Source organism: Homo sapiens, chromosome 1 (assembly GCF_000001405.40).
Source record: "Homo sapiens chromosome 1, GRCh38.p14 Primary Assembly".
NCBI classification, from domain to species: Eukaryota; Metazoa; Chordata; class Mammalia; order Primates; family Hominidae; genus Homo; species Homo sapiens.
Window position 1 is genome coordinate 150,913,303 of NC_000001.11, and position 27,830 is coordinate 150,941,132.

The 27,830-nt window shown below is 44.5% G+C and overlaps 1 protein-coding gene and 1 long non-coding RNA gene across 21 annotated transcripts in view, besides 18 other annotated features; one reads left to right on the plus strand and one right to left on the minus strand.

The window, feature by feature from the left end:
- Positions 1-13,039, minus strand: part of LOC107985204 (uncharacterized) — a 48,174-nt gene extending 35,135 nt beyond the window's left edge. Inside the window, exon 1 of the long non-coding RNA XR_001738231.2 lies at positions 12,958-13,039. This is a non-coding gene — a long non-coding RNA (uncharacterized LOC107985204). The remainder of the gene's footprint in view (positions 1-12,957) is intronic.
- Positions 1,592-1,736: an enhancer, noted in NCBI's record as "145 bp 1:150887442 sequence used in MPRA reporter constructs". NCBI's record gives its function as "activates a minimal TATA-containing promoter with rs4970985 allelic activity by MPRAs in C283T melanocytes {active_cell/tissue: C283T}" and the evidence as "EXISTENCE:reporter gene assay evidence [ECO:0000049][PMID:36423637]".
- Position 1,664: a transcriptional cis regulatory region, noted in NCBI's record as "rs4970985 or 1:150887442 MPRA-significant variant associated with a GWAS melanoma risk locus at 1q21.3". NCBI's record gives its function as "allelic transcriptional activity by MPRAs in C283T melanocytes {active_cell/tissue: C283T}" and the evidence as "EXISTENCE:reporter gene assay evidence [ECO:0000049][PMID:36423637]".
- Positions 3,639-3,783: an enhancer, noted in NCBI's record as "145 bp 1:150889489 sequence used in MPRA reporter constructs". NCBI's record gives its function as "activates a minimal TATA-containing promoter with rs4970929 allelic activity by MPRAs in C283T melanocytes {active_cell/tissue: C283T}" and the evidence as "EXISTENCE:reporter gene assay evidence [ECO:0000049][PMID:36423637]".
- Position 3,711: a transcriptional cis regulatory region, noted in NCBI's record as "rs4970929 or 1:150889489 MPRA-significant variant associated with a GWAS melanoma risk locus at 1q21.3". NCBI's record gives its function as "allelic transcriptional activity by MPRAs in C283T melanocytes {active_cell/tissue: C283T}" and the evidence as "EXISTENCE:reporter gene assay evidence [ECO:0000049][PMID:36423637]".
- Positions 4,027-4,171: an enhancer, noted in NCBI's record as "145 bp 1:150889877 sequence used in MPRA reporter constructs". NCBI's record gives its function as "activates a minimal TATA-containing promoter with rs12126004 allelic activity by MPRAs in C283T melanocytes {active_cell/tissue: C283T}" and the evidence as "EXISTENCE:reporter gene assay evidence [ECO:0000049][PMID:36423637]".
- Position 4,099: a transcriptional cis regulatory region, noted in NCBI's record as "rs12126004 or 1:150889877 MPRA-significant variant associated with a GWAS melanoma risk locus at 1q21.3". NCBI's record gives its function as "allelic transcriptional activity by MPRAs in C283T melanocytes {active_cell/tissue: C283T}" and the evidence as "EXISTENCE:reporter gene assay evidence [ECO:0000049][PMID:36423637]".
- Positions 5,359-5,503: an enhancer, noted in NCBI's record as "145 bp 1:150891209 sequence used in MPRA reporter constructs". NCBI's record gives its function as "activates a minimal TATA-containing promoter with rs12075597 allelic activity by MPRAs in C283T melanocytes {active_cell/tissue: C283T}" and the evidence as "EXISTENCE:reporter gene assay evidence [ECO:0000049][PMID:36423637]".
- Position 5,431: a transcriptional cis regulatory region, noted in NCBI's record as "rs12075597 or 1:150891209 MPRA-significant variant associated with a GWAS melanoma risk locus at 1q21.3". NCBI's record gives its function as "allelic transcriptional activity by MPRAs in C283T melanocytes {active_cell/tissue: C283T}" and the evidence as "EXISTENCE:reporter gene assay evidence [ECO:0000049][PMID:36423637]".
- The window catches only part of SETDB1 (SET domain bifurcated histone lysine methyltransferase 1), a 38,475-nt gene continuing 23,605 nt past the window's right edge, over positions 12,961-27,830 (plus strand). For 6 of the 20 annotated variants that reach the window (NR_172060.1, NM_001366417.1, NM_001393961.1 and 3 more), the window contains exons 1-4: positions 12,961-13,046; positions 14,402-14,672; positions 16,665-16,816; positions 26,638-26,672. Coding sequence is in view for 19 of the 20 variants with exons in the window: in NM_001366417.1 (NP_001353346.1) it covers positions 14,413-14,672; positions 16,665-16,816; positions 26,638-26,672 (447 nt within the window). In the remaining variant the exon portion in view is untranslated. The other 14 variants (NM_001366418.1, NM_001145415.2, NM_012432.4 and 11 more) reach the window with 4 other exon arrangements.
- Positions 17,384-17,528: an enhancer, noted in NCBI's record as "145 bp 1:150903234 sequence used in MPRA reporter constructs". NCBI's record gives its function as "activates a minimal TATA-containing promoter with rs2867296 allelic activity by MPRAs in C283T melanocytes and UACC903 melanoma cells {active_cell/tissue: C283T | UACC903}" and the evidence as "EXISTENCE:reporter gene assay evidence [ECO:0000049][PMID:36423637]".
- Position 17,456: a transcriptional cis regulatory region, noted in NCBI's record as "rs2867296 or 1:150903234 MPRA-significant variant associated with a GWAS melanoma risk locus at 1q21.3". NCBI's record gives its function as "allelic transcriptional activity by MPRAs in C283T melanocytes and UACC903 melanoma cells {active_cell/tissue: C283T | UACC903}" and the evidence as "EXISTENCE:reporter gene assay evidence [ECO:0000049][PMID:36423637]".
- Positions 22,105-22,249: an enhancer, noted in NCBI's record as "145 bp 1:150907955 sequence used in MPRA reporter constructs". NCBI's record gives its function as "activates a minimal TATA-containing promoter with rs4970986 allelic activity by MPRAs in C283T melanocytes and UACC903 melanoma cells {active_cell/tissue: C283T | UACC903}" and the evidence as "EXISTENCE:reporter gene assay evidence [ECO:0000049][PMID:36423637]".
- Position 22,177: a transcriptional cis regulatory region, noted in NCBI's record as "rs4970986 or 1:150907955 MPRA-significant variant associated with a GWAS melanoma risk locus at 1q21.3". NCBI's record gives its function as "allelic transcriptional activity by MPRAs in C283T melanocytes and UACC903 melanoma cells {active_cell/tissue: C283T | UACC903}" and the evidence as "EXISTENCE:reporter gene assay evidence [ECO:0000049][PMID:36423637]".
- Positions 22,789-22,933: an enhancer, noted in NCBI's record as "145 bp 1:150908639 sequence used in MPRA reporter constructs". NCBI's record gives its function as "activates a minimal TATA-containing promoter with rs34336465 allelic activity by MPRAs in UACC903 melanoma cells {active_cell/tissue: UACC903}" and the evidence as "EXISTENCE:reporter gene assay evidence [ECO:0000049][PMID:36423637]".
- Positions 22,862-22,868: a transcriptional cis regulatory region, noted in NCBI's record as "rs34336465 or 1:150908639 MPRA-significant variant associated with a GWAS melanoma risk locus at 1q21.3". NCBI's record gives its function as "allelic transcriptional activity by MPRAs in UACC903 melanoma cells {active_cell/tissue: UACC903}" and the evidence as "EXISTENCE:reporter gene assay evidence [ECO:0000049][PMID:36423637]".
- Positions 25,061-25,205: an enhancer, noted in NCBI's record as "145 bp 1:150910911 sequence used in MPRA reporter constructs". NCBI's record gives its function as "activates a minimal TATA-containing promoter with rs9661876 allelic activity by MPRAs in UACC903 melanoma cells {active_cell/tissue: UACC903}" and the evidence as "EXISTENCE:reporter gene assay evidence [ECO:0000049][PMID:36423637]".
- Position 25,133: a transcriptional cis regulatory region, noted in NCBI's record as "rs9661876 or 1:150910911 MPRA-significant variant associated with a GWAS melanoma risk locus at 1q21.3". NCBI's record gives its function as "allelic transcriptional activity by MPRAs in UACC903 melanoma cells {active_cell/tissue: UACC903}" and the evidence as "EXISTENCE:reporter gene assay evidence [ECO:0000049][PMID:36423637]".
- Positions 27,292-27,436: an enhancer, noted in NCBI's record as "145 bp 1:150913142 sequence used in MPRA reporter constructs". NCBI's record gives its function as "activates a minimal TATA-containing promoter with rs7556451 allelic activity by MPRAs in UACC903 melanoma cells {active_cell/tissue: UACC903}" and the evidence as "EXISTENCE:reporter gene assay evidence [ECO:0000049][PMID:36423637]".
- Position 27,364: a transcriptional cis regulatory region, noted in NCBI's record as "rs7556451 or 1:150913142 MPRA-significant variant associated with a GWAS melanoma risk locus at 1q21.3". NCBI's record gives its function as "allelic transcriptional activity by MPRAs in UACC903 melanoma cells {active_cell/tissue: UACC903}" and the evidence as "EXISTENCE:reporter gene assay evidence [ECO:0000049][PMID:36423637]".

Below are 27,830 nucleotides of genomic sequence, written 5' to 3' on the forward strand. Positions count from 1 at the left end.
TAACTTGTTATGGCAGTCATAGGAAATTAATACATAATATATGATGATGCAGATGATGGTCATGATTCTGACCATCATCCCAGCGATCTTTTTTTCTTTTTGAGACGGAGTTTTACTCTGTTGCCCAGGCTGGAGGGCAGTGGTGTGATTCCGGCTCACTGCAACCTCTGCCTCCTGGGTTCAAGCAATTCTTCTGCCTCAGCCTCCAGAGTAGCTGGAATTACAGGCACCCGCCACCATGCCTGGCTAATTTTTGTATTTTTAGTAGAGACAGGGTTTCACCATGTTGGCCAAGCTGGTCTCGAACTCCTGACCTCAAGTGATCCACCCACCTCAGCCTCCCAAAGTGCTCGGATTATAGGCGTGAGCCACTGCGCCCAGCCCCCAGGGATCTTTTAAGAGCAAAGGGAAGAAAATCATAGCCCTTACTCTCCAAAGTCTGAAGTTAGGGGACTTTGATAGAGTGGTGTGGTGTATGAGCCAACTGGCAGGGAAGCTTTTAAGAGAATTCACTAGAAAGAAAGGGAGCACCTAAATTGCTGAACAAGACTCAATGTGGGTTTGGCTGAAGAGGATTGGTTTTAGTACAGCAGTTGATGGAGAATCAAAGCCCTCACATCCAGCCACGATGGCCTAATATTCTAGTCAACAGTAACCTAGCATATGAGTATGAACTGAGAGCCATAACCTTGGAATCTAACTGGGAGGGTATCACTTGGGCTTATGCAGTGACTTGGACCAGCAAGTAGCCACTTCAGTGGAGACATGTATCCATGGGACCAAGCTGGACTGGGTTTTAACAGCAATACCACATGGTATAGAGACACAACTTTAGCCATGCACTGTTAGCAGAGACCTGATCATTGGTCTCTGTTTCTGACTCCTGGATGTGGGACTGCCCACTTCCTTAGCTTGAGTAAGCCTCCAGGGAAAATGGAGACAGGGGAATCAAAGCGGAAGATACTAGACTTTGCCTGCACCAGAACAAGGTACTGTATTGTATCGGTTAAGCTGGCAGGGAGGTAAAGTGAGGATGTGGGGAGGGGGACAAGAGAGATACATGATTTGATTTGATGAAAAGAAACTCAGGGCAAGGTGCAGATCAGGTGAAAAGCAGATTAGGATTGATGTCAGCTATGTCGGTGTTTGTGGAAAAGTAAAATAAAAATAAAGGCTGGGTGCAGTGGCTCACACCTGTAATCCCAGCACTTTGGGAGGCCGAGGTGGGTGGATCACCAGAGGTCAGGAGTTCGAGACCAGCCTGGCCCAACATGGTGAAACCCCGTCTCTACTAAAAATACAAAAATTAGCTGGGCATGGTGGCAGGTGGCTGTAATCCCAGCTACTTGGGAGGCTGAGGCAGGAGAATCGCTTGAACGTAGGGGTGGAGGTTGCAGTGATCCAAGATCACGACACTGCACTCCAGCCTGGGCAACAGAGCAAGACTCCATCTCAAATAAATAAATAAAGGGTTGATGTCAGCACTTGAGGACTGCAGTGCATTCCCTCCAGGAACTCAGAGATTAACCTCTCCACCACTTCTTAACATAAACTGCATGACTAACACATGATTAATGAGAGCATCAATATGCAGTCACTGGAGAATCACAGGTTTGACAATTATCTGACTTTCTCCAGTAACCTAAGAAAAGATGCATCAGTTAGAAGAAGTGGATCATTTGTGAAAGCAGAAAAAGATGAACAATCTAAAGCAAATCCACATGGAGCCAGTACGAATACTGTTCAAGAGAAAGGGGAGGCTGGGTGTGGTGGCCCATGCCTGTAATCTCAGGAGTTTGGGAGGCTGAGGTGGGAGGATCGCTTGAGCTCAGGAGCTTGAGACCAGCCTGGGCGATATAGTGAGATCTCATCTCTACTAAAAAATAAAAAATTAGCTGGGCATGGTGACCCGTGCCTGTAATCCTAGCTGCTTGGGAGACTGAGGTGGGAGGATTGCTTAGGCCTGGAAGACGGAGGTTGCAGTGAGCTGTGCTCGTGCAACTGCACTCCATCCAGCCTGGGTGGCCAGATAATCCTTGGTACGGAGATTCAGGGAGTTGCAGCCCATGGACCTTCAGTTTGTTTGGTCTTATTGATCACATGATCTCTGTTAACCTGATGTTCTTAATCATCCCTTCCACCCACCTCAAACTAACAATTTACAGGTCCAATTGGTCTGCAGAGAAGTTACATTGGGCCAGGACCCTCCCACTACTAATGTGGGTGTGTCTGGTGGGTGTTGGGGTTCTACATTTGTGTTTGAATCAACATTTTAAAAATTATTATTATAAAGGTAATACATGCATATTGTAAAACAATTTTTTCAAACATCACCTAGGGATAAAAAGGCAAAAAGTAGGTCCGGGCATGGTGGCTCACGCCTGTAATCCCAGCACTTTGGGAGGCTGAGGCGGGCGGATCATGAGGTCAGGAGATCGAGACCATCCTGGCTAACACGGTGAAACCCCATCTCTACTAAAAATACAGAAAATTAGCTGGGCATGGTGGTGGGTGCCTGTAGTCCCAGCTACTCGGGAGGGTGAGGCAGGAGAATGGCATGAACCCAGAGGTGGAGCTTGCAGTGAGCCAAGATCACCCCACTGGTGACAGAGTGAGATTCCATCTCAAAAAAAAAAAAAAAAAAGGCAAAAAGTTATTTGATTACTGCCTTGTTTCCCATTCCTTCTTTCCAAAGGTAATCGCTATAAAGTCCATTTGTGCATATATATATATATATATACACATATATCTATCCAAATATTTTCCTTTCTTTTTAATCTAAACTTTTTGAATAGGCTATCCATTTTCGTGTTTCAAATTTCTTTTTTTTTTGTTTCTTTTTTTTTTTTTTTTGAGTTGGAGTCTTGCTCTGTCGCCCAAGCTGGAGTATAATGGCGCAACCTCGGCTCACTGCAACCACTGCCTCCCAGGTTCAAGTGATTCTCCTGCCTCAGCCTCCTAGTAGCTGGGATTACAGGCACCTGCCACCATGGCTGGCTCATTTTTTGTATTTTTAGTAGAAACGGGGTTTTACCATGTTGGCCACGCTGGTCTGGAACTCCTGTCCTCAGGTGATCCACCTGCCTCGGCCTCCCAACGTGCTGGGTCAAATTTCAAAAGGTACAAAATGGTGTACTGTGAAAATTCTTACTCCTCTTCAACCTTCTGTTCTCTCTTCACAAACAACCAATGTTAACAATTTCTTTTTTTTTTTTTTTTGACATGGAGTCTCACTCTGTCACCCAGGCTGGAGTACAGTGGTGCGATCTCAGCTCACTGCAACCTCAGCCTCCAAGGTTCGAGCAATTTTCCTGTCTCAGTCTCCCGAGTAGCTGGGACTACAAGTGCCCACCACCACACCCAGCTAATTTTTGTATTTTTAGTAGAGACGGGGTTTCACCATGTTGGCCAGGCTGGTCTCGAACTCCTGACATCAAATAATCCACCCACCTCAGCCTCCCAAAGTTCTGGGACTACAGGTGTGAACCACTGCACTCGGCCCAACGTTAAAAATTTCTTGTGTATCCTTCCAGGGATATTTTATGTATATGTGAGAAAAAAATATATATTATTACCATTAGTTACACAAATGATGCTGCACTATATACCATGTTCTGCACCAATTTTTATTTAATATTGTATCTTGAAGATCATTCCACATCAATACACACACAGCCTCCTTAGCTTCTTTTTTTTTTGAGACGGAGTCTCGCTCTGTCGCCCAGGCTGGAGTGCAGTGGCGCGATCTCGGCTCACTGCAAGCTCTGCCTCTCGGGTTCACGCCATTCTCCTGCCTCAGCCTCCTGAGTAGCTGGTACTATAGACGCCCGCCACCACACCCAGCTAATTTTTTTGTATTTTTAGTAGAGACAGAGTTTCACCGTGTTAGCCAGGATGGTCTCGATCTCCTGACCTTGTGATCCACCCGCTTCGGCCTCCTGAAGTGCTGGGATTACAGGCGTGAGCCCGGCCTAGCTTTTTTTTTTTTAAACACGGTTAAAGAGTATTCTATTGTTTGAGTGTGCCATAATTTAACCAATGCCTGCCAATAGAAATTTACATTATTTTCAAATCTTCTGCTGTTTCAAATAATTATGCTGAAGAAAATAATTTAGCACTTAAATCATTTCAAAAGTATGCAAATTCAAAAGTATGTAAAAGCCAGGCACGGTGGCTCCACTGCACTCCACTTGCACCACTGCACTCCAGCCTGGGCAAGAGAGTGAGACTCCGTCTCAAAACAAACAAAGTATGTCACTTAAAGTCCTAGAAGTTGAATTGTTGATTTAAAGAATATCGCAGGGCTGGCCGGGTGCCGTGGCTCACACCTGTAATATATATATATTGCAGGGCTGGGCAGCAGTTGCTCACGCCTGTAATCCCAGCACTTTGGGAAGCCAAGGTGGGCGGATCCCTGAAGTTAGGAGTTTGAGACCAGCCTGGCCAACATGGTGAAACCCCATCTCTACTAAAAATACAAAAATTAGCCAGGCATGGTGGCAGGCGCCTGTAATCCCAGCTACTCGGGAGTCTGACGCAGGAGAATCACTTGAACCTGGGAGGTGGAGTTTGCAGTGAGCCAAGATCGTGCCACTGCGACAGAGCAAGACTCCATCTCAAAAAAAAAAAATAATAATAATATTGCAGGCTTGGCATGGTGGCTCACGGCTGTAATCCCAGCACTTTATGAGGCTGAGGAGGGAGAATCGCTTGAGGCTAAGAGTTTGAGACCAGTCTGGGCAATATAGCAAGACCCTAAGACCCCATCTCTAGTGGCATGTGCCTTTCAGGAGGCTTAGGCAGGAGGATCCCTTGAGCCCAGGAATTCAAGGTTATAATGAGCTAGGATTATGCCACTACACTGTAGCCTGGGAGCCTGGGTGACAGAGCAAGACACTGTCTCTAAAAAAACAGAAAGAGTATTGCTGAATTTACAGAATTTTTGAATGAGTTGCCAACATTTTAAACACACTTTCATACAAAATATAGATGTTTAAATTCACTTGAAAAATGGGAATATCTAATAATACTGTATCCCACACGACAAAAATTAGCTGAAACTAAGTAGCAACTGCTCCCTGTAGGTGAGATATGGACTACCCAAGTGGCCACAGTCCTCACCTGCCCCACTTAGCTCCTTTACATTACTTTCCTCGTGTCTGCAACCTTTGAGCTTTTAATCCCTGAAAAGTTATTTAGTTTTGATTCTGAGATCACTCAACAACCTTCAGATTATAATCTAATTTCCTTTGAGTCTGTGTGCAAAGAAAGGATCGGCCGGGTGCGGTGGCTCATGCCTGTAATCCCAGCACTTTGGGAGGCCGAGGCGGGTGGATCACGAGGTCAGGAGATCGAGACCATCCTGGCTAACACGATGAAACCCCCGTCTCTACTAAAAATACAAAAAATTATCCAGGCATGGTGGCAGGCGCCTGTCGTCCCAGCTACTCGGGAGGCTGAGGCAGGAGAATGGCGTGAACCTGGGAGGCGGAGCTTGCAGTGAGCCAAGATAGCGCCACTGCACTCCAGCCTGGGCGACAGAGCAAGACTCCGTCTCAAAAAAAAAAAAAAAGAAAGGATCATTTGGCATTCCAAGGTATTGACCCCTATGCTGATTTCTCAGTCAAGTATTAAGAACTATGTGGTTGTGAGCCGGGCATGGTGGCTCACATCTGTAATCCCAGCACTTTCGGAGGCTGAGGCGGGCGGATCACTTGAGGTCAGGAGTTCAAGACCAGCCTGGCCAACATGGTGACACCCCGTCTCTTCTAAAAATATAAAAAAATTAGCCAGGTGTGGTGGTGCACGCCTGTAATCCCAGCTACTAGGAAGGCTGACACAGGAGCAGGAGAATCGCTGGAACCCAGGAGGCAGAGGTTACAGTGAGCTAAGATCATGCCACTGCACACCAGCCTGGGTAACAGAGCAAGTTTATTATTTTATAGTAATAACGGCAACAAATCGTGTATTACAATAATTTGTAAATTTCAATAATGTAAGTCACTTATGCAGGGTCTAATCACTTCTGACTAGAGTTAGTCTTCAGAGCTGAGTGTGGTGGAATGCACCTATAGTCCTAGCTACTTGGGAGGCTGAGGCAGGAAGATCTCTTGAGCCCAGGAGTTTGAGACCAGCCTCGGCAACACAGCCAGACCTCGTCTCAAAAAAAAAAAAAAAATTCTGATTCAGTGTATCTTGAGTGGGACCAGAAATTTAAAATTTCTAACAAGCTCCCTGATTGCACACTGAGTAGCAAGACCTTAGAAGACACCTCCTGAGTTCCCTCTGCTGATATCTACAGGACTGACCACTTCAGCCTTCTCAGGGCAATGAAGAAATCAGACTAGAATATGACGAGCCAAAATAGCATTATTTCTCATCAACATTCCCCATTCCTCATTCCCCACCCCACCTGCTCCTAATAATGGAAAGTTGAAAGAATGTAACTAGTAGAAATATAATTCAATCAGAGCAAAGATAAAGGGAATTTTTTTATTCATTCTATATCAAGGACCACCAGATGTGCAGGGGCAATATATCAGGCGCTAGGGAAAACAAAAATGATTAAGACAGGATCTTAGCCTTGAGCTGTTCACAAACTAGTAGAGGAGACAGGCATACAGTGATAACTCACAAGTGGCATGAACTACAATAATGGAAGTACAGAGGTAGAAGTTAATTCTTTAGAGGATGAGTGACGGTCTAGGACACTGATTCTTAAATTCTGGTCTCAGGATCAATAGCATGGGCATCAATCACCTGGGAAAATGTTAGACATGCAGATTCTCAGACTGCATCCAGACCCGCTCCAGCATTGGGTGTGGGGCAGCAATATGGTTTAACAAGCCCTTCTTGGCCGGGCACTGTGGCTCACGCCTATAATCCCAGCACTTTGGGAGGCCGAGTCGGGTGGATCATGAGGTCAGGAGTTTGAGACCAGCCTGGCCAATATGGTGAAACTCCGTCTCCACTAAAAATACAAAAAGTAGCCAGGCGTGGTGGTGCGTGCCTGTAGTCCCAGCTATCAGGAGGCTGAGGCAGAAGAACCGCTTGAACCTGGGAGGTGGAGGTTACAGTGAGCCGAGATGGTGCCACTGCACTCCAGCCTGGATGACAGAGCAAGACTCCACTCAAAAAACAAAAAAGAAAGAAAACAAAAACAAAACAAAACAAAAAAAACAGTCCTCCAGGTGATTCTGATACATGCTAATGCTTTTCAATTCCCAGTCTAGGAAAACTACTCAGAGAAGACATTATTTAAACTTTAGACAATTAATATTTTACTAGACAGAAAAAGGGAGGGAAAATTATAGGAGGTGGACCATGATAAATAAAGATGTGGAGATACAAAAGTGAAATATATAAATTTGTTAGGGAAACAGCACATAATCAGAAGTGTGAAGAGAGGGGTGGGAAATATGGCCAAAGAGGTAAATTGGGGCCAAATTATGAAGAGCCTCAAATTTTATACTGTGGAGATAAACTTTATTTTGTAGACATAAAGAAAAAAGTTTTAAAGCAGGGTATATGACATGATCAGAACTATATTTTAGAGCTACATATAGGAAGAATCTACAATAAGGCCTACCAATCAGGAGGTTACTTTATCCTGGCAAGAAGCAAGAGCTAAGGCCGGGTGCCATGGCTCACGCCTGTAATCCCAGCACTTTGGGCGGCTGAGGTGGGCGGATCACCGGAGGTCAGGAGTTCGAGAACAGCCTGACTAACCTGGAGAAACCCCGTCTCTACTAAAAATACAAAATTAGCCAGGCGTGGTGGCGCATACCTGTAATCCTAGCTACTCCGGAGGCTGAGGCAGAATTGCTTGAACCCAGGAGGCGGAGGTTGCGGTGAGCCAAGATTGCGCCATTGCAATTCCAGCCTGGGCAACGAGAACACAAAAACTCCGTCTCAAAAAAAAAAGAAAGGAAGGAAGAAAGAAAAAGGGCCAGGTGCGGTGTTTTACGCCTGTAATCCCAGCACTTTGGGAGGCCAAGGCAGGCGGATCACGAGGTCAGGAGATTGAGACCATCCTGGCTAACACGGTGAAACCCCGTCTCTACTAAAAATACAAAAAAATTACCCGGGCATGGTGGTCGGCGCCTGTAGGCTGAGGTAGGAGAGTGGAGTGAACCTGGGAGGCAGAGCTTGCAATGAGCCGAGATCACACCACTGCACTCCAGCCTGGGCGACAGAGCGAGACTCCATCTCAAAAAAAAAAAAAAAAGAAAAGAAAGAAAAAGAAAAGAAATAAGAGCTAAACAAAGCCAATAAAATAGGAAAAGAGGCCGGGTGCAGTGGCTCACCGCTATAAAACCAGCACTTTGGGAGTCCAGGGCAGTTTGATCACCTGAGGTGGTGGGTGGATCACCTGAGGTCAGGAGTTCGAGACCAGCCTGGCCAACATGATGAAACCCCGTCTCTACTAAAAATATAAAAATTAGCTGGGCATGGTGGTGGACATCTATAGTCCCAGCTACTCGGGAGGCTGTTGCAGGAGAATCACTTGAACCTGGGAGGCTGAGGAGCCGAGATGGCACCACTGCACTCCAGCACTCCAGTCTGGGATGACAAAGTGAGACTTCATCTCAAAAAAAAAAAAAAAAAAAAAAAAAAGAATACGAATAGGAAAAGAAAGAAGAGGAAACAAGCTACACTGAATGATGGTTCAAGACCACCAAGTGTATGGCCAAACTGCCTGGGTCTGTCACTTTTTAGCTGTGTAGCTTTGGGAAATTTATTTCTGTGCCTCTGTTTTCTCATCTATAAAAAAGGGACAATAATATTAGTTCTTACCCCATAGGATAATTGTGAAGTTTAAATGAATTAATAACTGGCAAGTGCTTAGAACAGTTCCTGGTATGTAGCAAGTATTCAACAAATATTGTGTGTGTGTGTGTGTTTAGGGAGTAGTATGTCTAAAATTTTTAGCTCAGGTTAGGTGATACCATAATGAAATGAGTTTAGAACATGATGAATTTCAATTATCTGGAGGAACCCTTCACTTCTCCACACCTCAATTTCTGCTGTCTTAATTGAAAATAGGCACTTAGGGTGGTCCCAGGAAACTGTTGAGCAGGTGAAATGAGCACAGGTGAAAATGTGGTCAACAAGAGAGAATTTCAAGGACTTGGCAGTTCTGGCGCTTGGGCTGTGTTTCCAGCCTCACACACAAGGTTCTGGTTTGTACTTTTTAAATGAAATGTAGATTCAATAACTAGTACAGTTAGTGTAAAGACACATGAACAAATTAAAGCAATGATAAGACGCTGTGGTAGTCAATAAAGCTGGTTCATCAGACACACCAGGTTCTCCCTCCTCCCAGAGGTAAGATAACTGCTCTTCCTGGCCCCCTGGTGGTTGTGTAGGACTTTGTGATTCATTCAGGTCAATGAGTTGTAAAAATCAGTGTCTTGAGTCATTTTGTTAATATGAGTCCCTCTAGCATTCTTTCCCTCTGGTATTACTACTCATCAGTGTGGGTTTCCCCAGTAGCTATCATTAGCAGAGCCCCACCATACCTTCCAGAGATGATTATGTAGTGTGAGCAAGAAACACGCCTTTTTTTTTTCTTTTAAGCCACTCAGATTTTGGAGTTGTTTCCACAACATAACCTAGTCTATCCTGATACTGATACTATTTTAATACATATCAAGTTCTTAAAAATTAAGTAGTTAACACCCAGTACTAATAGGGGTGTGGGGAAACACTTTCAGATTTGCTAGTGAGAGTAATAATTGTTACAACCTTTTAGAAAGGTAATTTGACCGCAGATTCTATTAAAATGGAAAAAAAGGGGCCGGGTGCAGTGGCTCACACCTATAATCCCAGCACTTTGGGAGGCCGAAGCGGGCGGATCACCTGAGGTCGAGTGTTTGAGACCAGCCTGTCCAACATGGAGAAACCCCATCTCTACTAAAAATACAAAATTAGCCGGGCGTGGTGGTGCATGCCTGTAATCCCAGCCTCTGGGGAGGCTGAGGCAGGAGAATCGCTTGAACCCCAGAGGCGTAGGTTGTGGTGAGCCGAGATCCTGCCATTGCACTCCAGCTTGGGCAACAAGAATGAAACTCTGTCTCAAAAAAAAAAAAAAAGGCCAGGCGCGGTGGCTCACGCCTGTAATCCCAGCACTTTGGGAGGCCGAGGGGGGCAGATCACGAGGTCAGGAGATCGAGACCATCTTGGCTAACACGGTGAAACCCCATCTCTACTAAAAATACAAAAAATTAGCCGGGCGTGGTGGCGGGCGCCTGTAGTCCCAGCTACTCGGGAGGCTGAGGCAGGAGAATGGCCGGGTGCAGTGGCTCACCGCTATAAAACCAGCACTTTGGGAGTCCAGGGCAGGTTGATCACTTGAGGTGGTGGGTGGATCACCTGAGGTGGTGGGTGGATCACCTGAGGTCAGGAGTTCGAGACCAGCCTCGCTAACATGATGAAACCCCGTCTCTACTAAAAATATAAAAATTAGCTGGGCGTGGTGGTGGGCACCTATAGTCCCAGCTACTCGGGAGGCTGTTGCAGGAGAACCCAGAGGCGTAGGTAGGCTGTGGTGAGCCGAGATCCAGCCATTGCACTCCAGCCTGGGCAACGAGAATGAAACTCCGTCTCAAAAAAAAAAAAAAAAAAAAAAAAAAAAAAAAAAAAGGCCGGTTGCGGTGGCTCACGCCTGTAATCCCAATCCCAGCACTTTGGGAGGCCCAGGAGGCGGAACCCGGGAGGCGGAGCTTGCGTGAGTCGATATCGCGCCACTGCAGTCCAGCCTGGGCTACAGAGCGAGACTCCGTCTCAAAAAAAAAAAGGAAAAAAAAGGCCTGGCGAGGTGGCTCATGCCTGTAATCCCAACACTTTGGGAGGCCAAGGTGAGCAGATCACAAGGTCAGGAAATTGAGACCATCCTGGCTAACACAGTGAAACCCCGTCTCTACTAAAAATACAAAAAATTAGCCAGGCGTGGCGGCACGCACCTGTAGTCCCAACTACTCAGGAGGCTGAGGCAGGAGAATCGCTTGAACCCAGGAGGTGGAGGTTGCAGTGAGCCGAAATCGTGCCACTGCAGTCCAGCCTGGGCGACAGAGCGAGACTCTGTCTCAGAAAAAAAAAAAGAAAAGAAAAGAAAAAGAAAGAAAGGGCCGGGAGCAGTGGCTCACGCCTGTAAGTAATCCTAGCACTTTGGGAGGCGAGGCGGGTGGATCACTTGAGGTCAGGAGTTTGAGACCAGCCTGGCCAACATGGCGAAACCTCGTCTCCACCAAAAATACAAAAACTAGCCGGGTGTGGTGGCAGGGGCTTGTAATCCCAGCTACTCGGGAGGCTGAGGCAGGAGAACTGCTTGAACCCGGGAGGTGGAGGTTGCAGTGAGCCGAGATCGCACCATTGCACTCCAGCTTGGGTGACAAGAGCGAAACTCAGTCTCAAAAACAAACAAACAAACAAAAAAAGGAAGGCTCGGCGCAGTGGCTCACACCTGTATGTAATCCCAGCACTTTGGGAGGCCGAGGTGTGACGAGGCCAGCCTGGCTAACACGGTGAAACCCCGTCTCTACTAAAAATACAAAAAATTAGGCGGGCGTGGTGGCACGCGCCTGTAGTCCCAGCTACTCGGAAGGACGAGCCAGGAGAATCGCTTGAACCCGGGAGGTGGAGGTTGCAGTGAGCCAAGATCGCGCCATTGCACTCCAGCCTGGGCGATAGAACGAAACGCCTTCTCAAAAAAAAAAAAAAAAAAAAAAAAAAGGAAAAAAGCACATATTATTTTACTCAAATTCCATTTTGGGAAATCTTTTCTTTTTGTTTTTTGTTTTGTTTTGTTTTTGAGACGGAGTCTCGCTCGGTCACTTAGGCTGGAGTGCAGTGGCGCGATCTCCTCTCACTGAAGCCTCTGCCACCGGGGCTCAAGCGATCCTCCCCCCGCCTCAGCTGCGGAGTTGCTGGGACCACAGACGCGAACTACCACGCCTGGCTTTTTTTTTTTTTTTTTTACCTTGTATTTTTAGTCGAGATGGCGTTTCGCCGTGTTGCCCAGGCTGGTCTGGAACTCCTGGGCTCTAGCAATCCTCCCGCCTCGGACACAAAGCGCCCGGCCTGGGGAATCTTTTCTACAGAAATAAAAGTACTACTTCAAAAGGATGTTTATTTTTATTGTTGCGCTATTTGTCGGGGCTGAGAACGGAAAACAATCTAAACAATCTAAACTATTCAGGTGTCAAAAATACAAGTTATTGGTTTTTTGTTTTTTTGTTTTTTTTGGTTTTTTTGAGACGGAGTCTCGCTCTGTCGCCCAGGCTGGAGTGCAGTGGCGCGATCTCCGCTCACCGCAAGCACCGCCTCCCGGGTTCACGCCATTCTCCTGCCTCAGCCTCCCGAGTAGCTGGGACTACAGGCGCCCGCCACCACGCCCGGCTAACATTTTTAGTACAGACGGGGTTTCACCGTGTTAGCCAGGATGATCTCCATCTCCTGACCTCGTGATCCGCCCGCCTCTGACTCCCAAAGTGCTGGGATTACAGGCGTGAGCTACCGCGCCCGGCCAAAAATACAAGTTTTACCTTTTTTATTGGCTTCAGGTAATGTCCACATGTTAAATGAAAACAACAAAAATCCAAATACAGAAACTCGTACATACAAGACTGGAAAATGAAGCTGTATTACCTGAAAGGAGCGGAGTGGTGATGGGGCAAGAGAGAATATTATCACGTTTTTCTTATTACATCTTGATAGCCTTTACAATTTGTATCACTTATGTAACAAAACAAACTCAAGTAAAACTGAGAGAATAAAGCTCTGAACCTATGAGCGTTTCCCTAAGTCTTTACACAATGAATATAGTAATGGGGCCACTAGTCGAGGGTGGTAGGAGCGGCGGAGACTCGGTAATATACTGGCCACGCCTACTCTGCCCTGCCAGTCTCTTCTCACGTGTGCCCCTGGAAGGCTCTGCCTTAACGCATGCGTAGTTACCTTAGTTTTCGTCGCCTCTGAGGGGCGCCCCGCGGCTTTGGATTTGACCCCGTCAGGCTACCGTCGCGGTGACCGGAACGGCACTAAAGGTTTGCTTCCGGGCGTTTCTTTTGCTTCCCCTTCCCTCTTTCACGCTTCCTCCCCTCCCCCTCCTCCCTTATCCCTTCGCTTTCGCTCTTTTCCGTCGAGGCCGACCCCTGAGTTGTGAGTCTGGGGTCTGGTTGGTGAAAAAGAGCCCTTGAAGCTGGAAGACGGGAGGTGCGGGGAATACTGTTGAGTTATTTGGTGACCAAAGGCTTATCTGGGACGTTTTGTTTGTGGGAGGGGGTCGGGCGAGGGTGGGAAGGAAGTCTTCCCCAGAGGCGAACGGGGGCGGGGCTGAACTGGGTTTGCGAATGGGTAGGACGCACCCCTAGAATGGGTAGCACGGGGGTGGGCTGGTGTGTGGGCAGAGGAAAATGGAGGCGCTGAAAATCAGATTTTCTTTAACCGTTTGATTAAAAAAGCAGTTCACACGAATGTGTGAAGTATTTGGATTGTGGATATTAGGTACCCACGTTTTATTCCCAGGTTGCTTTACTTCTCTGTACTTTGGGGGAAACCTTTTTGCTGCAAGCTTTCGTGTGTTTGAATATCATAGACTTTTTAAAAAGTAAAATTCCACATGGAAGCAAAGTAATATAAGGGGAACAAGTAATGAAAGAGAAAACACTGAGTTAGTGAGTTCCAAATCAACTCCATCCCCAGGTGGGGTTTTGTTTAAATTAGGCATAGCATACAAAGATTTATCACATTAGTTAAGGAACACATATAGACCACAAAAATATCTTATAGATTGGTTCTCTTCAGTATCCCAAAAGATTATTTTTAAAGTTCGGTTTGTTTTGAGACAGGGTCTCACTTTGTCACCCAAGCTGGAATGCATGGCGCGAACATAGCTCACTACAGCAGCTACTCCTGGGCTCAAGCGATCCTCCCACTTCAGCCTCCTGAGTAGCTGGAACTAAAGGCGTGCACCACCACACGTGGCTAATTTTTGTATTTTTTTGTAAAGACGAGTCTTGCCATGTTGCCCAGGCTGGTCTTGAACTCCTGCCCTCAAGCGACCCTCCTGCCTCGGCCTCTAAAAGTGCTGAGATTACAGGTGTAAGCCACTGTGCCAGCCCAAAACATTATTTTCAGTAGCTCTCTACTGCTTAATGAATGTTCTCCATGCCGTCTCAAACTCTTAAATCTTTTTCAGGAGTGTTAGCGTACAGCAGAAGATAAGAACTCTTAAAAATCTCAGCATCAGATTCTGGAGAATAGGGAGGGAGAACATGGAATATTTGAATAGAATAACAGGCAGCAGAGTAGGAATTAGTTTTATTAGGGAACTGAAATTCTCTATTGATTGATTGTAGTTATAAGGACTCCAATTTAATTTGTTTTCTGTTCCATGCAGAGGACAAAAGCATGTCTTCCCTTCCTGGGTGCATTGGTTTGGATGCAGCAACAGCTACAGTGGAGTCTGAAGAGATTGCAGAGCTGCAACAGGCAGTGGTTGAGGAACTGGGTATCTCTATGGAGGAACTTCGGCATTTCATCGATGAGGAACTGGAGAAGATGGATTGTGTACAGCAACGCAAGAAGCAGCTAGCAGAGTTAGAGACATGGGTAATACAGAAAGAATCTGAGGTGGCTCACGTTGACCAACTCTTTGATGATGCATCCAGGTGAGAACTCCATGGAAAATAGAAGGAAATCTCTCCATTGGGAGATGTTTTTAGAGAATAATTGTTCATGACATTGAACCAAGCATTTTATTTTATGTTTTGAGACGGAGTCTCGCTCTGTCACCCAAGCTAGAGTGCAGTGGAGTGATCCTGGCTCACTGCAACCTCCACCTCTCGGGTTCAAGTGATTCTCCCACCTCCCCCTCCCGAGTAGCTGGAATTATAGGCATCCGCCACCACACCCAGCTAATTTTTTATATTTTTAGTAGAGACAGGGTTTCACCATGTTGGCCAGGCTGTGTACCAAACATTTTATACTTTATGAAGTACAGATGTTTAGAACCTTACTCTTCCTCAAAGTTTATGGTCAAAAATCTGACCTTACAATCAGCCGTAAATATAATTTTCATCTGTCAGCAGCTAATACATGATCAGCAGTAAGGGAGTCCAAGTCTTAAGTCCTTTCCCCTTCTTCCTCCTGTGCTCTATCTTAGAACAATTGCTTCATTTCCCTAGTAAGATCATCCAGGGAGTGAGGATTGTAAAGAATTTCTGTCTTACGTAACTCTGAAGCATTAGTAAGTTCCCATACCCCCAAAAGATTTGTTTCTGGTGCTCTAGTTGTCACTTAGAATACATTGTTTTTAAATTTATTATACTTTAAGTTCTAGGGTATATGTGCACAACGTGCAGGTTTATTACATATGTATACATGTGCCATGTTGGTGTCACTTACATTAGGTATATCTCCTAATACTATCCCTCCCCCTTCCCCCCACCCCACGACAGGCCCCAGTATGTGACGTTCCCCATCCTGTGTCCAGGTGTTCTCATTGTTCAATTCCCACCTATGAATGAGAACGTGCGGTGTTTGGTTTTCTGTCCTTGCTATAGTTTGCTCAGAATGATGGTTTCCAGCTTCATCCATGTGCCTACAAAGGACATGAACTCATCCTTTTTTATGGCTGCATAGTATTCCATGGTGTATATGTGCCACATTTCTTAATCCAGTCTATCATTGATGGACATTTGGGTTGGTTTAAAGTCTTTGCTATTGTGGATAGTGCCGCAATAAACATACGTGTGCATGTGTCTTTATAGCAGCATGATTTATAATCCTTTGGGTATATACCCAGTAATGGGATTGCTGGGTCAAATGGTATTTCTAGTTCTAGATCCTTGAGGAATCGCCACACTGTCTTCCACAATGGTTGAACAAGTTTACAGTCCCACCAACAGTGTAAAAGTGTTCCTGTTTCTCTACATCCTCTCCAGCACCTGTTGTTTCCTGACTTTTTAATGATCGCCATTCTAACTGGTGTGAGACGGTATCTCATGGTGGTTTTGATTTGCATTTCTCTGATGGCCACTGATAATGAGCATTTTTTTATTTTATTTTTATTTTATTTTATTTTTTTTTTAGACAGAGACTTGCTCTGTCTCACCCAGGCTGGAGTACAGTGACGTGATCTCGGCTCACTGCAGCCTCCGCCTCCCGAGTTCAAGCAGCTCTCCTGTCTCAGCCTCCGGAGTAGCTGGGACGACAAGCGTGTGCCACCACACCCGGCTAATTTTTGTATTTTTAGTAGAGATGGAGTTTTACCATGTCGGCCAGGCTGGGGAGGTCAAATTCCTGACCTCAAGTGATCTACCTGCCTCAGCCTCCCAAATTGCTGGGATTGCAGGTGTGAGCCACCACTGCCAGCCAGGATACATTTTCAGATAACAGCAAGGTAAATAATGAGGTAAGGGTGAAAGTACTGTACTTTGGGCTTACTTTGGATTTTTGAGGAACTAGTCTGGAAACTAAACCACTATTTAAAACATTTTTCTATAGAAAAAGCATTCTAAATTCTAAACAGAGACACTTTGGAATGTGGCCCATTTAAATTGAGGACTGTCTATACTTAAATATATATACATCGTAATGGATTCTATATCTCTTAATTCCTCTACTGGCTTTGACCTTTTCTGCATGTGTTCCAATATTAGGGCAGTGACTAATTGTGAGTCTTTGGTGAAGGACTTCTACTCCAAGCTGGGACTACAATACCGGGACAGTAGCTCTGAGGACGAATCTTCCCGGCCTACAGAAATAATTGAGATTCCTGATGAAGATGATGATGTCCTCAGTATTGATTCAGGTAAGGGATGAGCTTTGGATAGGAGAGTCTCAGGACTGAAGTTGAAACACTGGAAGATGAGCAAATAGAAGATAATAGAAGAGAGGAGAAACCATTGTCACTAACTCCATATTTCTAACTGCCTGAGTTGGCTATTAAAGAAAAAAATGCAACATTGTTAGTATCATAGATGTTCCCTATGTGCTACACCCTGATTGTATTACTTTGCTTTCCTCATTCTGTGTAACCCCTATTTTGGGGTATTCCATCAAAGAGTGGAATTGCCAGGACTTATAGTGAGTGTATGTTCTGTTATTAGAATATAAAAAATACAGTTGGTTTTTGTGTATTGATCTTGTAGCCCGCAACCGCATTAAACTCACATAGTTCTAGAAGCTTTTTGTTGATTCCTTAGGATTTTCTTTTTTTTTTTTTTTTTTTTTTTTTTTGAGATGGAGTCTCGCTCTGTTGCCCAGGCTGGAGTGCAGTGGCGCAATCTCAGCTCACTGCAACCTCTGCCTCCTGGGTTCAAGCAATTCTCTGCTTCGACCTCCCAACTAGCTGGGATTACAGGCAAACCCCCTGCCCCACCACCACACCCAGCTAATTTTTGTATTTTTAGTAGAGACAGGGTTTCATCATCTTGGCCAGGCTGGTCTTGAACTCCTGACCTTGTGATCCACTTGCCTTGGCCTCCCAAAGTGCTGGGATTACAGGCATGAGCTGCTGCACCCAGCCAATTCCTTAGGTTTTTCTAAAACTAATTCATGCAAGTAAAGTCTGTTTTACTTCTTCCTTTCTACCCTGGATATCTTTCTTTTTCTTTTCTTATTGTACTCACTAAAACCTTCAGTACAGTGTTGAATAAGTTTTAAGAGCAGGCCAGATACAGTGGCTCATACCTGTAATCCCAGCACTTTGGGAGGTTGAGGTGGGAGGATCCCCTGATCCCAGGAATTTGAGACCAGCCTGGCCAACGTAGCAAGACCTCATCTCTACTAAAAATAAAAAAATTAGCCAGGCATGGTGGTGCACCCCAGTAATCCCAGCTACTTGGGAGGCTGAGGTGGAAGGATCTCTTAAGCATAGGAAGTTGAGGCTGCAGTGAGCTGTGATTGTGCCACTGCACTCCAGCCTGGGTGACAAAGCAAGACTCTTGTCTTCAAAAAAAAAAAAAAAAAAAAGGGTTTCCAGAACAGACATCCTGGCCAGGCGTGGTGGCTCACGCCTGTAATCCCAGCACTTTGGGAGGCCAAGGAGGGCGGATCATGAGGTCAGGAGATCCAGACCATCCTGGCTAACACGGTGAAACCCCATCTCTACTAAAAATACAAAAAATTAGCTGGGCGTGGCGGCGGACGCCTGTAGTCCCAGCTACTTGGGAGGCTGAGGCAGGAGAATGGCGTGAACCCAGGAGGTGGAGCTTGCAGTGAACAGAAACCACACTACTACATGTATACATATGTAACTAACCTGCACAATGTGCACATGTACCCTAAAACTTAAAGTATAATAAAAAAAAATTAAAAAATAAAAAATAAAAAAAATAAAGATAAACCAAAAAAAAAAAAAAAGAAACCACACTACTGCACTCCAGCCTGGGCGACAGAGTGAGACTCTGTCTCACCCAAAAAAAAAAAAAAAAAAAACAGACATCCTTTTCTTCTTCCTGATGTTGATATGAAAGCATTTGGTGTTTAACCATTAATTATGTTAGCAGTAGGTTTTCTATAGATGTCATTTATTAAATTAAAGGAATCCCCTTCTAATCCTAGTTTGAGAGATTTTATCATAGCCTAATTGGATTTTGGATTTTGTCAGCTTTTTCTGTATCATTCTCCTATGTTCCTTTTGTCTTTTATCATATTAAGAATGTATTACAGTAGTTGTTTTTTTAGATGTTAAACCAACCTTGCATTCCTGGAGTAAACCAGCCTTGGTCTTGATGTATAATTCTTTTTATATGTTGCTGGATTGGATTTGCTGATTTAAAAAAAAAAGATCTTGGCTGGATGCTGTGACTCATGCCTGAAATCCCAGCACCTTGGGAGGCCGAGTTGGGCAGATTGCTTGAGCCCAGGAGTTCAAGACTAGCCTGGGCAACATGGTGAAACCCCTTCTCTAATTTTTTTTTTTTTAAAAAAAAAGAAAGAAAAAAATTTTTACATCTGTTTCATGAGGGCTATTGGTTTATAGTTCTGTTGTGGTGTCCTTGTTTGGCTTTGGTAGCAGGGTAATATAGGCCTTGTAAATGAGTTGAGAAGTGTTCCCTCCTCTGAGTTTGTATGGAATGATATTTCTTCCTAAAAAGTTTGATAAATTCAGTGCTGAGGCCATTTAGGCTTGGACTTTTCTTTGTGGATTTTTAAAATCTTTTATTTTGGAATAATTTTAGATTTATAGAAAAATTGAAAAAGTAATAGAGTTCCTATATATCCCTCATCTAGTACATATGTCAAAACTAAGAAGCAAACACTGGTATATTACTTTTATATAAACTTCAGGCTTTATTCAGCTTCTGGACTTTTTCTGTTCCATGATCTAATCCAGGATATCACATTAAATATATTTCCAGTGTGATGTTTATTTTCTTCCTTTTACTTACTGGGTTTGATTTGTTCTTCTTTTTCTAGCCTCTCAAAGTGGAAGCTTACAGGATTGATTTTAGACCTTTCTTCCTTTCTAATATAAGCTCTAAAGCTATTTATTTCCCCGTAAGCATTGCTTTGCTGCATCTCATAAATTTTTTTCCATACAGTGTCACTCTCAGGATATCATACTTTTTTTATGTTGTGTTTTCAGCTTCATTAAACTTGGCATCATTTTTAATTTTCCTTGTGGTTGTTTGATTTCTAAATATTTGGGGTTTTTTTGATATCTTTCTGTTGTTAATTTTTAATTAATTTTATTGTGTTCAGAGAATATACTTTGTATAATTTTAGTCTTTTTGAATGAATGAATGAATGAATGAATTGATTGATTGACAAGGTCTCACTCTGTTCCCCAGGCTGGAGTGTGATAGCATGATCATAGTTCACTGCAGCCTCAACCTCCTGGGCTCAAGTGATCCTCCCACGTCAGCCTCCTGAGTAGCTGGAACTAAAAGTACATGCCGCCACGCCCAGCTAACTTTTTTTTTTGTAGTAGAGATAAGGTCTCACTATGTTGCCCAGGCTGGTCTCGAACTCCTGAGCTCAGGCAATCCTCCTGCCTTGGCCTCCCAAGGTGCTGGGATTATAGGCCTTAGCTACCATGCCTGGCCTATTTTGTCTTTTTTTTTTTTTTTTTGAGACAGTCTTGCTCCATTGCCCTGGCTGAAGTGCAGTGGCATGATCTCACTGCAACTTCTGCTCACTGCAACCTTTGCCTCCTGGGTTCAAGCAATTCTCCTGTCTCAGCTTCCTGAGTAGCTGGGACCACAGGCACGCGCCATCACACCCAGCTAATTTTTGTACTTTTAGTAGAGACAGGATTTCTCTGTGTTGGCCAGTCTTGTCTTAAACTTCTGACCTTAGGTGATCTGTCCACCTAAGCCTCTCAAAGTGCTAGAATTACAGGCGTGAGCCACTGTGCCTAGCCCTATTTCTTCTTTGTTGCCTTCTTAAAGTCAAACAAACATTTCAGAAAACCACTGTCATTCTTCTGATTTTTCTTTTTCTTTTTCTTTTTCTTTTTCTTTTTCTTTTTTTTTTTTTTTTTTTTGAGATGGAGTTTTCGCTCTTGTTGTCTAGGCTGGAGTGCAATGGCAGGATCTCTGCTCACTGCAACCTCCGCCTCTTGGGTTCAAGCGATTCTCCTGCCTCAGCCTCCTAAGTAGCTGGGATTACAGGCATGCACCACCATGCCTGGCTAATTTTGTATTTTTAGTAGAGACAGGGTTTCTCCATGTTGGTCAGATTGATCTCAAGCTCCCAACCTCAGGTGATCCACCTGCTTCGGCTTCCCAAAGTGCTAGGATTACAGGAGTGAGCCACCACACCCGGCCCCTGATTTTTCTTTTTTTTAGCTTTCATAAAAGGGGTTGCATCTGTACCTAATCATAATCTATTACAAATTAATACTGACTTAATTCTGGTAAAAATACAGCCATTTTGGCTGGGCGCGGTGGCTGACGCCTGTAATCCCAGCACTTTGGGAGGCCGAGACGGGCAGATCACGAGGTCAGGAGATCGAAACCATCCCGGCTAACACGGTGAAACCCCGTCTCTACTAAAAATACAAAAAAATTAGCTGGGCGTAGTGGCGGGCACCTGTAGTCCCAGCTACTTGGGAGGCTGAGGCAGGAGAATGGCGTGAACCTGGGAGGCGGAGCTTGCAGTGAGCCAAGATCGCACCGCTGCACTCCAGCCTGGGCGACAGAGCGAGACTCCATCTCAAAAAATATATATATATACACAGCCACTTTGCACCAGCATACTTCTACTTTCACTCTCTTCCTGTGTGATACTATTGTCAAATATATTATAGCTACATGTTTAAAGCCAATAATCTAGTGTTATAATTACTGCTTTAAGCAGTCTCATGTTTAAAGAAGGTAAGGGAAGAAAAGAAAAATATGTATTTACCCAGATATTTATCACTTCTGTTGCTCTTCATTCCTTCCTGTGGATCTGAGTTATCATCCAGTGTCATGTTTTTCCAGCCAGACGGTTTCCTTTAATATTTCTTGCAGTACAGTTCTGCTGACAGTGGATTCCCTCAATCTTCGTTTACCCAGGATATAGAATTTTTTTTTTTTTTTGTGACAGAGCTTTATTCTTGTTGCCCAGGCTGGAGTGCAGTGGTGAGATCTCAGCTCACTGCATCCTCCACCTTCCAGGTTCAAGCAATTCTCCTGCCTCAGCCTCCCAAGTAGTTGGGACTACAGGTGTGCACCACCACGCCCGGCTAATTTTGTCTTTTTAGTAGAGACAGGGTTTCGTCATGTAGTTCAGGCTGGTCTCAAACTCCTGGCCTCAGGTGATCCACACGCCTTGGCCTCCCAAAGTACTGGGATTACAGGCGTGAGCCACTGTGCCCGGCCCTACCTGGGATATAGAATTCTTGATTGACAGAGTTTTCTTTCAGTACTTCAAATACGCCATCCCTGTGCCCTCTGGCCTCTATTATTTTTGATGGAAAGTCAGAGGAAATTATTTTTGTATCATGTATATGAGTCAGTTTTGTCTTGCTGGTTTTAAGGTTTTCTTTTTGTCTTCTGGTGTTAGTTTGACTGGGATGTATCCAAGTTCTTTCTTAATCCTACTTGAGGTCCATTTAACTTCTTGGGTATGTAGATTCAAGTTTTTCACCAAATTTGGAAGTATTTCATCTGTTATTTCTTCATGGTTTTTTTTTTCTGTTCCCTTTTGTCTCTCCCTGCTTTCTGGGATTTCCATTACATATATGGTGGAATGCTTGACATTCATCTTTTCACAAGTCTCTGAAGCTTTGTTCATTTTTCTTCAATTTTCTCTCTGTGCTTTGGATTGGATAATTTCTCTATATGGGTATCTATATATTCTAGTTCATTGACTCCTGTTGTGACTCTGCCACTTAGCCCCTCTAATATGTATTTCATTTCAGTTTTTGCATTTTCAACTCTGGAATTTCTATTTGGTTCCTTATTTCATAGTTTCAGTTTCTCTTGAGATTCTCTTGTTGATTAAGTATTAGTATATTTTCATTTAACCTTTTAACTTAATTTCCTATCGTTCTTTGAGCATATTTATAAATCCAGTATCTGGGATCACTGAGAGTCAGTTTTATTGACAGGGTTTTTTGTCTTGAGTGTAGGTCACACTTTCATGTTTCTTTGCATGTCTCTTATCTTTTTGTTGAATATTGACTTTTAGATAATCTAGCAACTCTGAGTTTTAATTTATTTTCCTGAGAGTTCCATATCCTAGTTATTCTTTTCTTTTTTTTGAGACGGAGTCTCGCTCTGTCGCCCAGGCTGGAGTGCAATGGCGCAATCTCGGCTCACTGCAAGCTCCACTTCCCGGTTTCACACCATTCTCCTGCCTCAGCCTCCCGAGTAGCTGGGACTACAGGTGCCCGCCACCATGCCTGGCTAATTTTTTTCTATTTTTTTAGTAGAGACAGGGTTTCACCATGTTAGCCAGGATGGTCTCGATCTCCTGACCTCGTAATCTGCCCGTCTCGGCCTCCCAAAGTGCTGGGATTACAGGCGTGAGCCACCCTGTAGGCCTCTGTTCAGTTTTTTTATTTTAACTTTTAATTTTTTAGCTTGGCTTCCAAGTATTGACTTTTTTATTTCTATTTTTTGGAATAGTTTAGCTAGTGAGGCGAATGCATTCAGAGTTACATTTAGTTCTGACGTCTCCCTTGGCTTTGACTTCTTCAACATTGTGTTGATGCATGATGATTAGCTTATTTGCTTTTTGCAGCATGGTATTCCATTGTATGAATATGCCACAGTTTATCAGTTTTCCTGATTGTGGACATTGATTTACATTTTTTGAGATTACAGATAACACTACTGCAAATATTCTTGTACATGTCTCCTGATGCACATGTGCAGGAGTCTTTTTAGTGTATATACTGTAAGAGAGTCACTAGTTCTTAGGATATAGAAACCTCAACTTTATTTGATATATATTTTTTTAGACAGTATCTCACTCTGTAACCCAGGCTGGAGCACAGTAGTGCTATCATAGCTCACTTCGACTTCAGCCTCCCAAGTAGCTGAGACTACAGGCAAGTGCCACCACGCCTGCCTGATTTAAAAAAAAAAAAATTTGTAGGTTGCTCACAGTGGCTCACACCTGTAATCTCAGCACTTTGGGAGGCCGAGGCGGGTGGATCGCCTGAGGTCAGGAGTTCGAGACCAGCCTGGCCAGTATGGCGAAATCCCATCTCTACTAAAAATACAAAAATTAGCTGGGTATGGTGGTGGGTGCCTGTAATCCCAGCTACTGGGGAGGCAGCGGCACAAGAATTGCTTGAACCCGGGAGGCGGAGGTTGCTGTGAGCCAAGATTGGGCCACCGCACTCCAGCCTGGATGACAGAGTAAGAATCTGTCTCAAAGAAAAAATATATGTGTATATATATAGTATTACCACCCAAGGGATTATTACACAGCCACTAAAAAAAAAAAGAAAAAAAAAAGACAAACATAGGTGAACGTTGAGGACATTATGCTAAGTGAAATAAGCCAGTCACAAAAAGACAAATGATTTCACTTAGATGAGATATCTAGCATTCAGTGGTGGCTGCCAGGGGCTGGAGGGAGGGGAAAATGGGGAGTGTTTAATAGGTACAGAGTTTCAGTTTTGCAAAATGAAAAGAGTTCTGGAAATGGATGGCGGTTATGGTTGCACAACAATATAAATATACTTAATACCACTGAATTGTACACTTAAAAATGATTAGAGTCAGGTGTTGGGTTTTGCTTACGGTCCTGGCTACTCAGGAGGTTGAGGCAGGTGGATCATTTAAACCCAGGAGTTCAAGGCCAGCCTGGGCAACGTAACGAGAACCTGTCTCTTTAAAAAGACAATAACAAATGTTGACAAGGATATGGAGGAATTGAAAACCTCATAAATTGTTTATGGAAATATAAAATGCTATAGCCACTTTGGAAAATAGTCTTTTGGTTCCTCAAAAGGTTAAACATAGAATTACCATAACCCACCCACTGCTGGCCATATACCCAAGAGAAATGAGAACATTTGTTGATGTAAAAACTGATAAATGAATGTTCATATCAGCATTATTCATAATAGGCAAAAGTAGAAACAGCCCAAATGTTTATCAACTGATGAATGGATAAACCAAATGTGGTATACACATACACCCATGTATTGACTGCTATAAAATATTATTCAGCCATAAAAAGGAATGAAGGGGCCAGTCACGGTGGCTCATGCCTGTAATCCTAGCACTTTGGGAGCCTGAGGTGGGTGGATCACGAAGTCAGGAGTTGGAGACCAGCCTGGCCAATATGGCTGTCTCTACTAAAAATACAAAATTTAGCTGGGTGTGGTGGCGCGTGCCTGTAACCCCAGCTACTCATGAGACTGAGCCAGAAGAATCACTTGAACCCAGGAGGTGGAGGTTGCAGTGAGTTGAGATCACACTACTGCACTCCAGTCTGGCGACAGAGCAAGATTCCATCTCAAAAAAAAAAAAAGGAATGAAGTACTGATACGTGGTACAACATAGATGAACCTTGTTTGAGGAACCGCATATTACATGATTCTCTTTATATGAGATGTTCAGAATAGGCAAATCCATAGAGACAGAAAGTAAATTTGTGATTGCCAGAGTTTGGGGGAGGGAGGAATGAGAAATGACTGCTATAGGTATGAGGAAATTTTTGGAGTGATGAAATTCTTCATCACTCCAGAATTCGATAGTGATGTTAGTTTAATTACCAAAAACCACTGAATTACACTTATTTTTTCTTGTTTTTTGAGACAGAGTCTCGCTCTGTAGCCCAGGCTGGAGTGCAGTGGCACGATCTCAGCTCACTACAACCTCCGCCTCCCAGGTCCCGGTTCAAGTGATTCTCCTGCCTCAGCCTCCCGAGTAGCTGGGATAACAGGCACGTGCCACCATGCCCAGCTAATTTTTGTATTTTTAGTAGAGATGGGGTTTCACCATGTTGGCCAGGCTGGTCTGGAATTCCTGACCTCAGGTGATCTGCCCACCTTGGCCTCCCAAAGTGCTGGGATTATAGGCTTGAGCCACCACCATCGGCCTACACGTTTTATTTTTATCCTACTTTTTTTTTTTTTTTTTTGAGACGGGGTCTTACTCTGTCACCTGTAGTCCCAGCCGCTTTGGAGGTTGAGGCAGGTGAATCACTTGAACCCGAGAGGCAGAGGTTGCGGTGAGCCTAGATCACGCCACTGCACTCCACTGGTCTTACGCTGCACCAAGCTGGAGTGCAATGGTGCAGTCTTGGCTTACTGCAACCCTTGCCTCCTTGGTTCAAGCGATTTTCTTGCCTCAGCTTCTCGTGAAGCCATGTAGCTGGGATTACAGGTGCCTGCTACCACGCTTGGCTAATTTTTGTGTTTTTAATAGAGAAGGGGTTTGGTTTCACCATGTTGCCCAGGCTGGTCTGGAACTCCTGACATTAGGTGATCCACCCACCTCGGCCTCCCAAAGTGCTAGAAGTACAGGTGTGAGCCACTGCACCCAGCATTTTTTTTTTTTTTTTTTTTTGGTAAAGACAGGGTTTTGCTGTGTTGTTCAGGCTTGAACTATACATTTTTATTTTTTATTATTATTGTTTTTTGAGCCAGAGTCTCGTTCTGTCAACCAGGCTGGAGTGCAGTGGTGCAGTCTCAGCTCGTTGCAGCCTCTGCCTCCCGGATTCCAGCACTTCTGCCTCAGCTTCCCAAGTAGCTGGGATTACAGGCATGTGCCACCATGCCCATCTAATTTTTGTATTTTTAGTAGAAACGGGGTTTCACCATGTTGACCAGGCTGATCTCAAACTCCTGACCTCAGGTGATCCACCCACCTTGGCCTTCCAAAGTGCTGGGATTACAGGCATGAGCCACTGCGCCTGGCCTAATTTTTTTTTTAAGAGACAGGCTCTTGTTATGTTGCCCAGGCTAGTCTTGAACTGGCCTCAGTCAGTCCTCCCACCTAAGCCTTCCAAGTAGCAGGGATTACAGGTGTGAGCCACCACACCTGGCTATTTACTTTGTGTCTTTCCAGACCCTTTTGAGTACTTTATATTTGTGTGTATACCTATATCAAGATTATTTTCAGTTATTGTTGATAATGCTCCCATAATAATGCTTTTGAGTAAGTTAGTTCTTAATTTCCCAGAAGTTCCTCTGTGTAAGTCTCTGACACTCATTAGAGTTCTTCTCGTCCATAGGTGATGCTGGGAGCAGAACTCCAAAAGACCAGAAGGTAAGTTAGGATGGTAAGGGAAGGGTGAGAGATAAGAATATGAAAATAGGAGAATTTTTTGGCCTAACCATTTAATCAGTTTAGCTGTCAGTATCTAATCATTCACCCTGTGATCAGCCCTTTGCGTTGCAGTCCTCTGATTGATGCTGTAAGAATTCAAAAAGAGGTTAGCAAAAAATGCTTTCACTAGAAAGGAGTGTTGTATGAAAGTGGAATTTAGCAGTGTTTGCTAGGTAAATTAATCAAGAAAAGCTTCCTAACATTGAAACGTTGATTTTTGAACTAGGTTTCTAAGCAAGGGCAGCTTTGGGCTGGGCACATTGGCTCACGACTGTAATCCCAGCACTTGGGGAGTTTCAGGTGGGTGGATCACCTGAGGTCAGGAGTTCAAGACCAGCCTGGCCAAAATGGCGAAACCCCATCTCTACTAAAAAAATATAAAAATTAGCTGGGCATGGTGGTGCATGCCTGTAATCCCAGCTGCTTGGGAGGCTGAGACAGGAGAATCAGTGGAACCCAGGAGGCAGAGGTTGCAATGAGCTGAGATCGCACCACCGCACTCTAGCCTGGGGGACAGAGCAAGACTCTGTCTCAGAAAAAAAAAAAAAAGAGGCTAGGCGTGGTGGCTTACGCCTGTAATCCCAGCACTTTGGGAGGCTGAGGCAGGTGGATCACCTTAGGTCGGCAGTTCAAGAGCAGCCTAACCATGGAGAAACCCCATCTCTACTAAAAACACAAAATCAGGCTGGGCACAGTGGCTCACGCCTGTAATCCCAGGACTTTGGGAGGCTGAGGCGGGTGGAACACGAGGTCAGGAGTTTGAGACCAGCCTGGCTAACATAGTGAAACCCTGTCTCTACTAAAAATACAAAAATTAGCTGGGCATGGTGGCACGTGCCTGTAGTCCCAGCTGCTTTGGAGGTTGAGACAGGTGAATCGCTTGAACCCGAGAGGCAGAGGTTGCGGTGAACCTAAATCATGCCATTGCACTCCAGGCTGGGCAACAGAGCCAGACTCCATCTCAAAAAAAAAAAAAAAATTAGCTGGGCATGGTGGCGCATGCTTGTAATTCCAGCTACTCCGGAGGCTGAGGCAGGAGAATCGCTTGAACCCAGGAAGTGGAGGTTATGGTGAGCCGAGATTGTGCCATTGCACTCC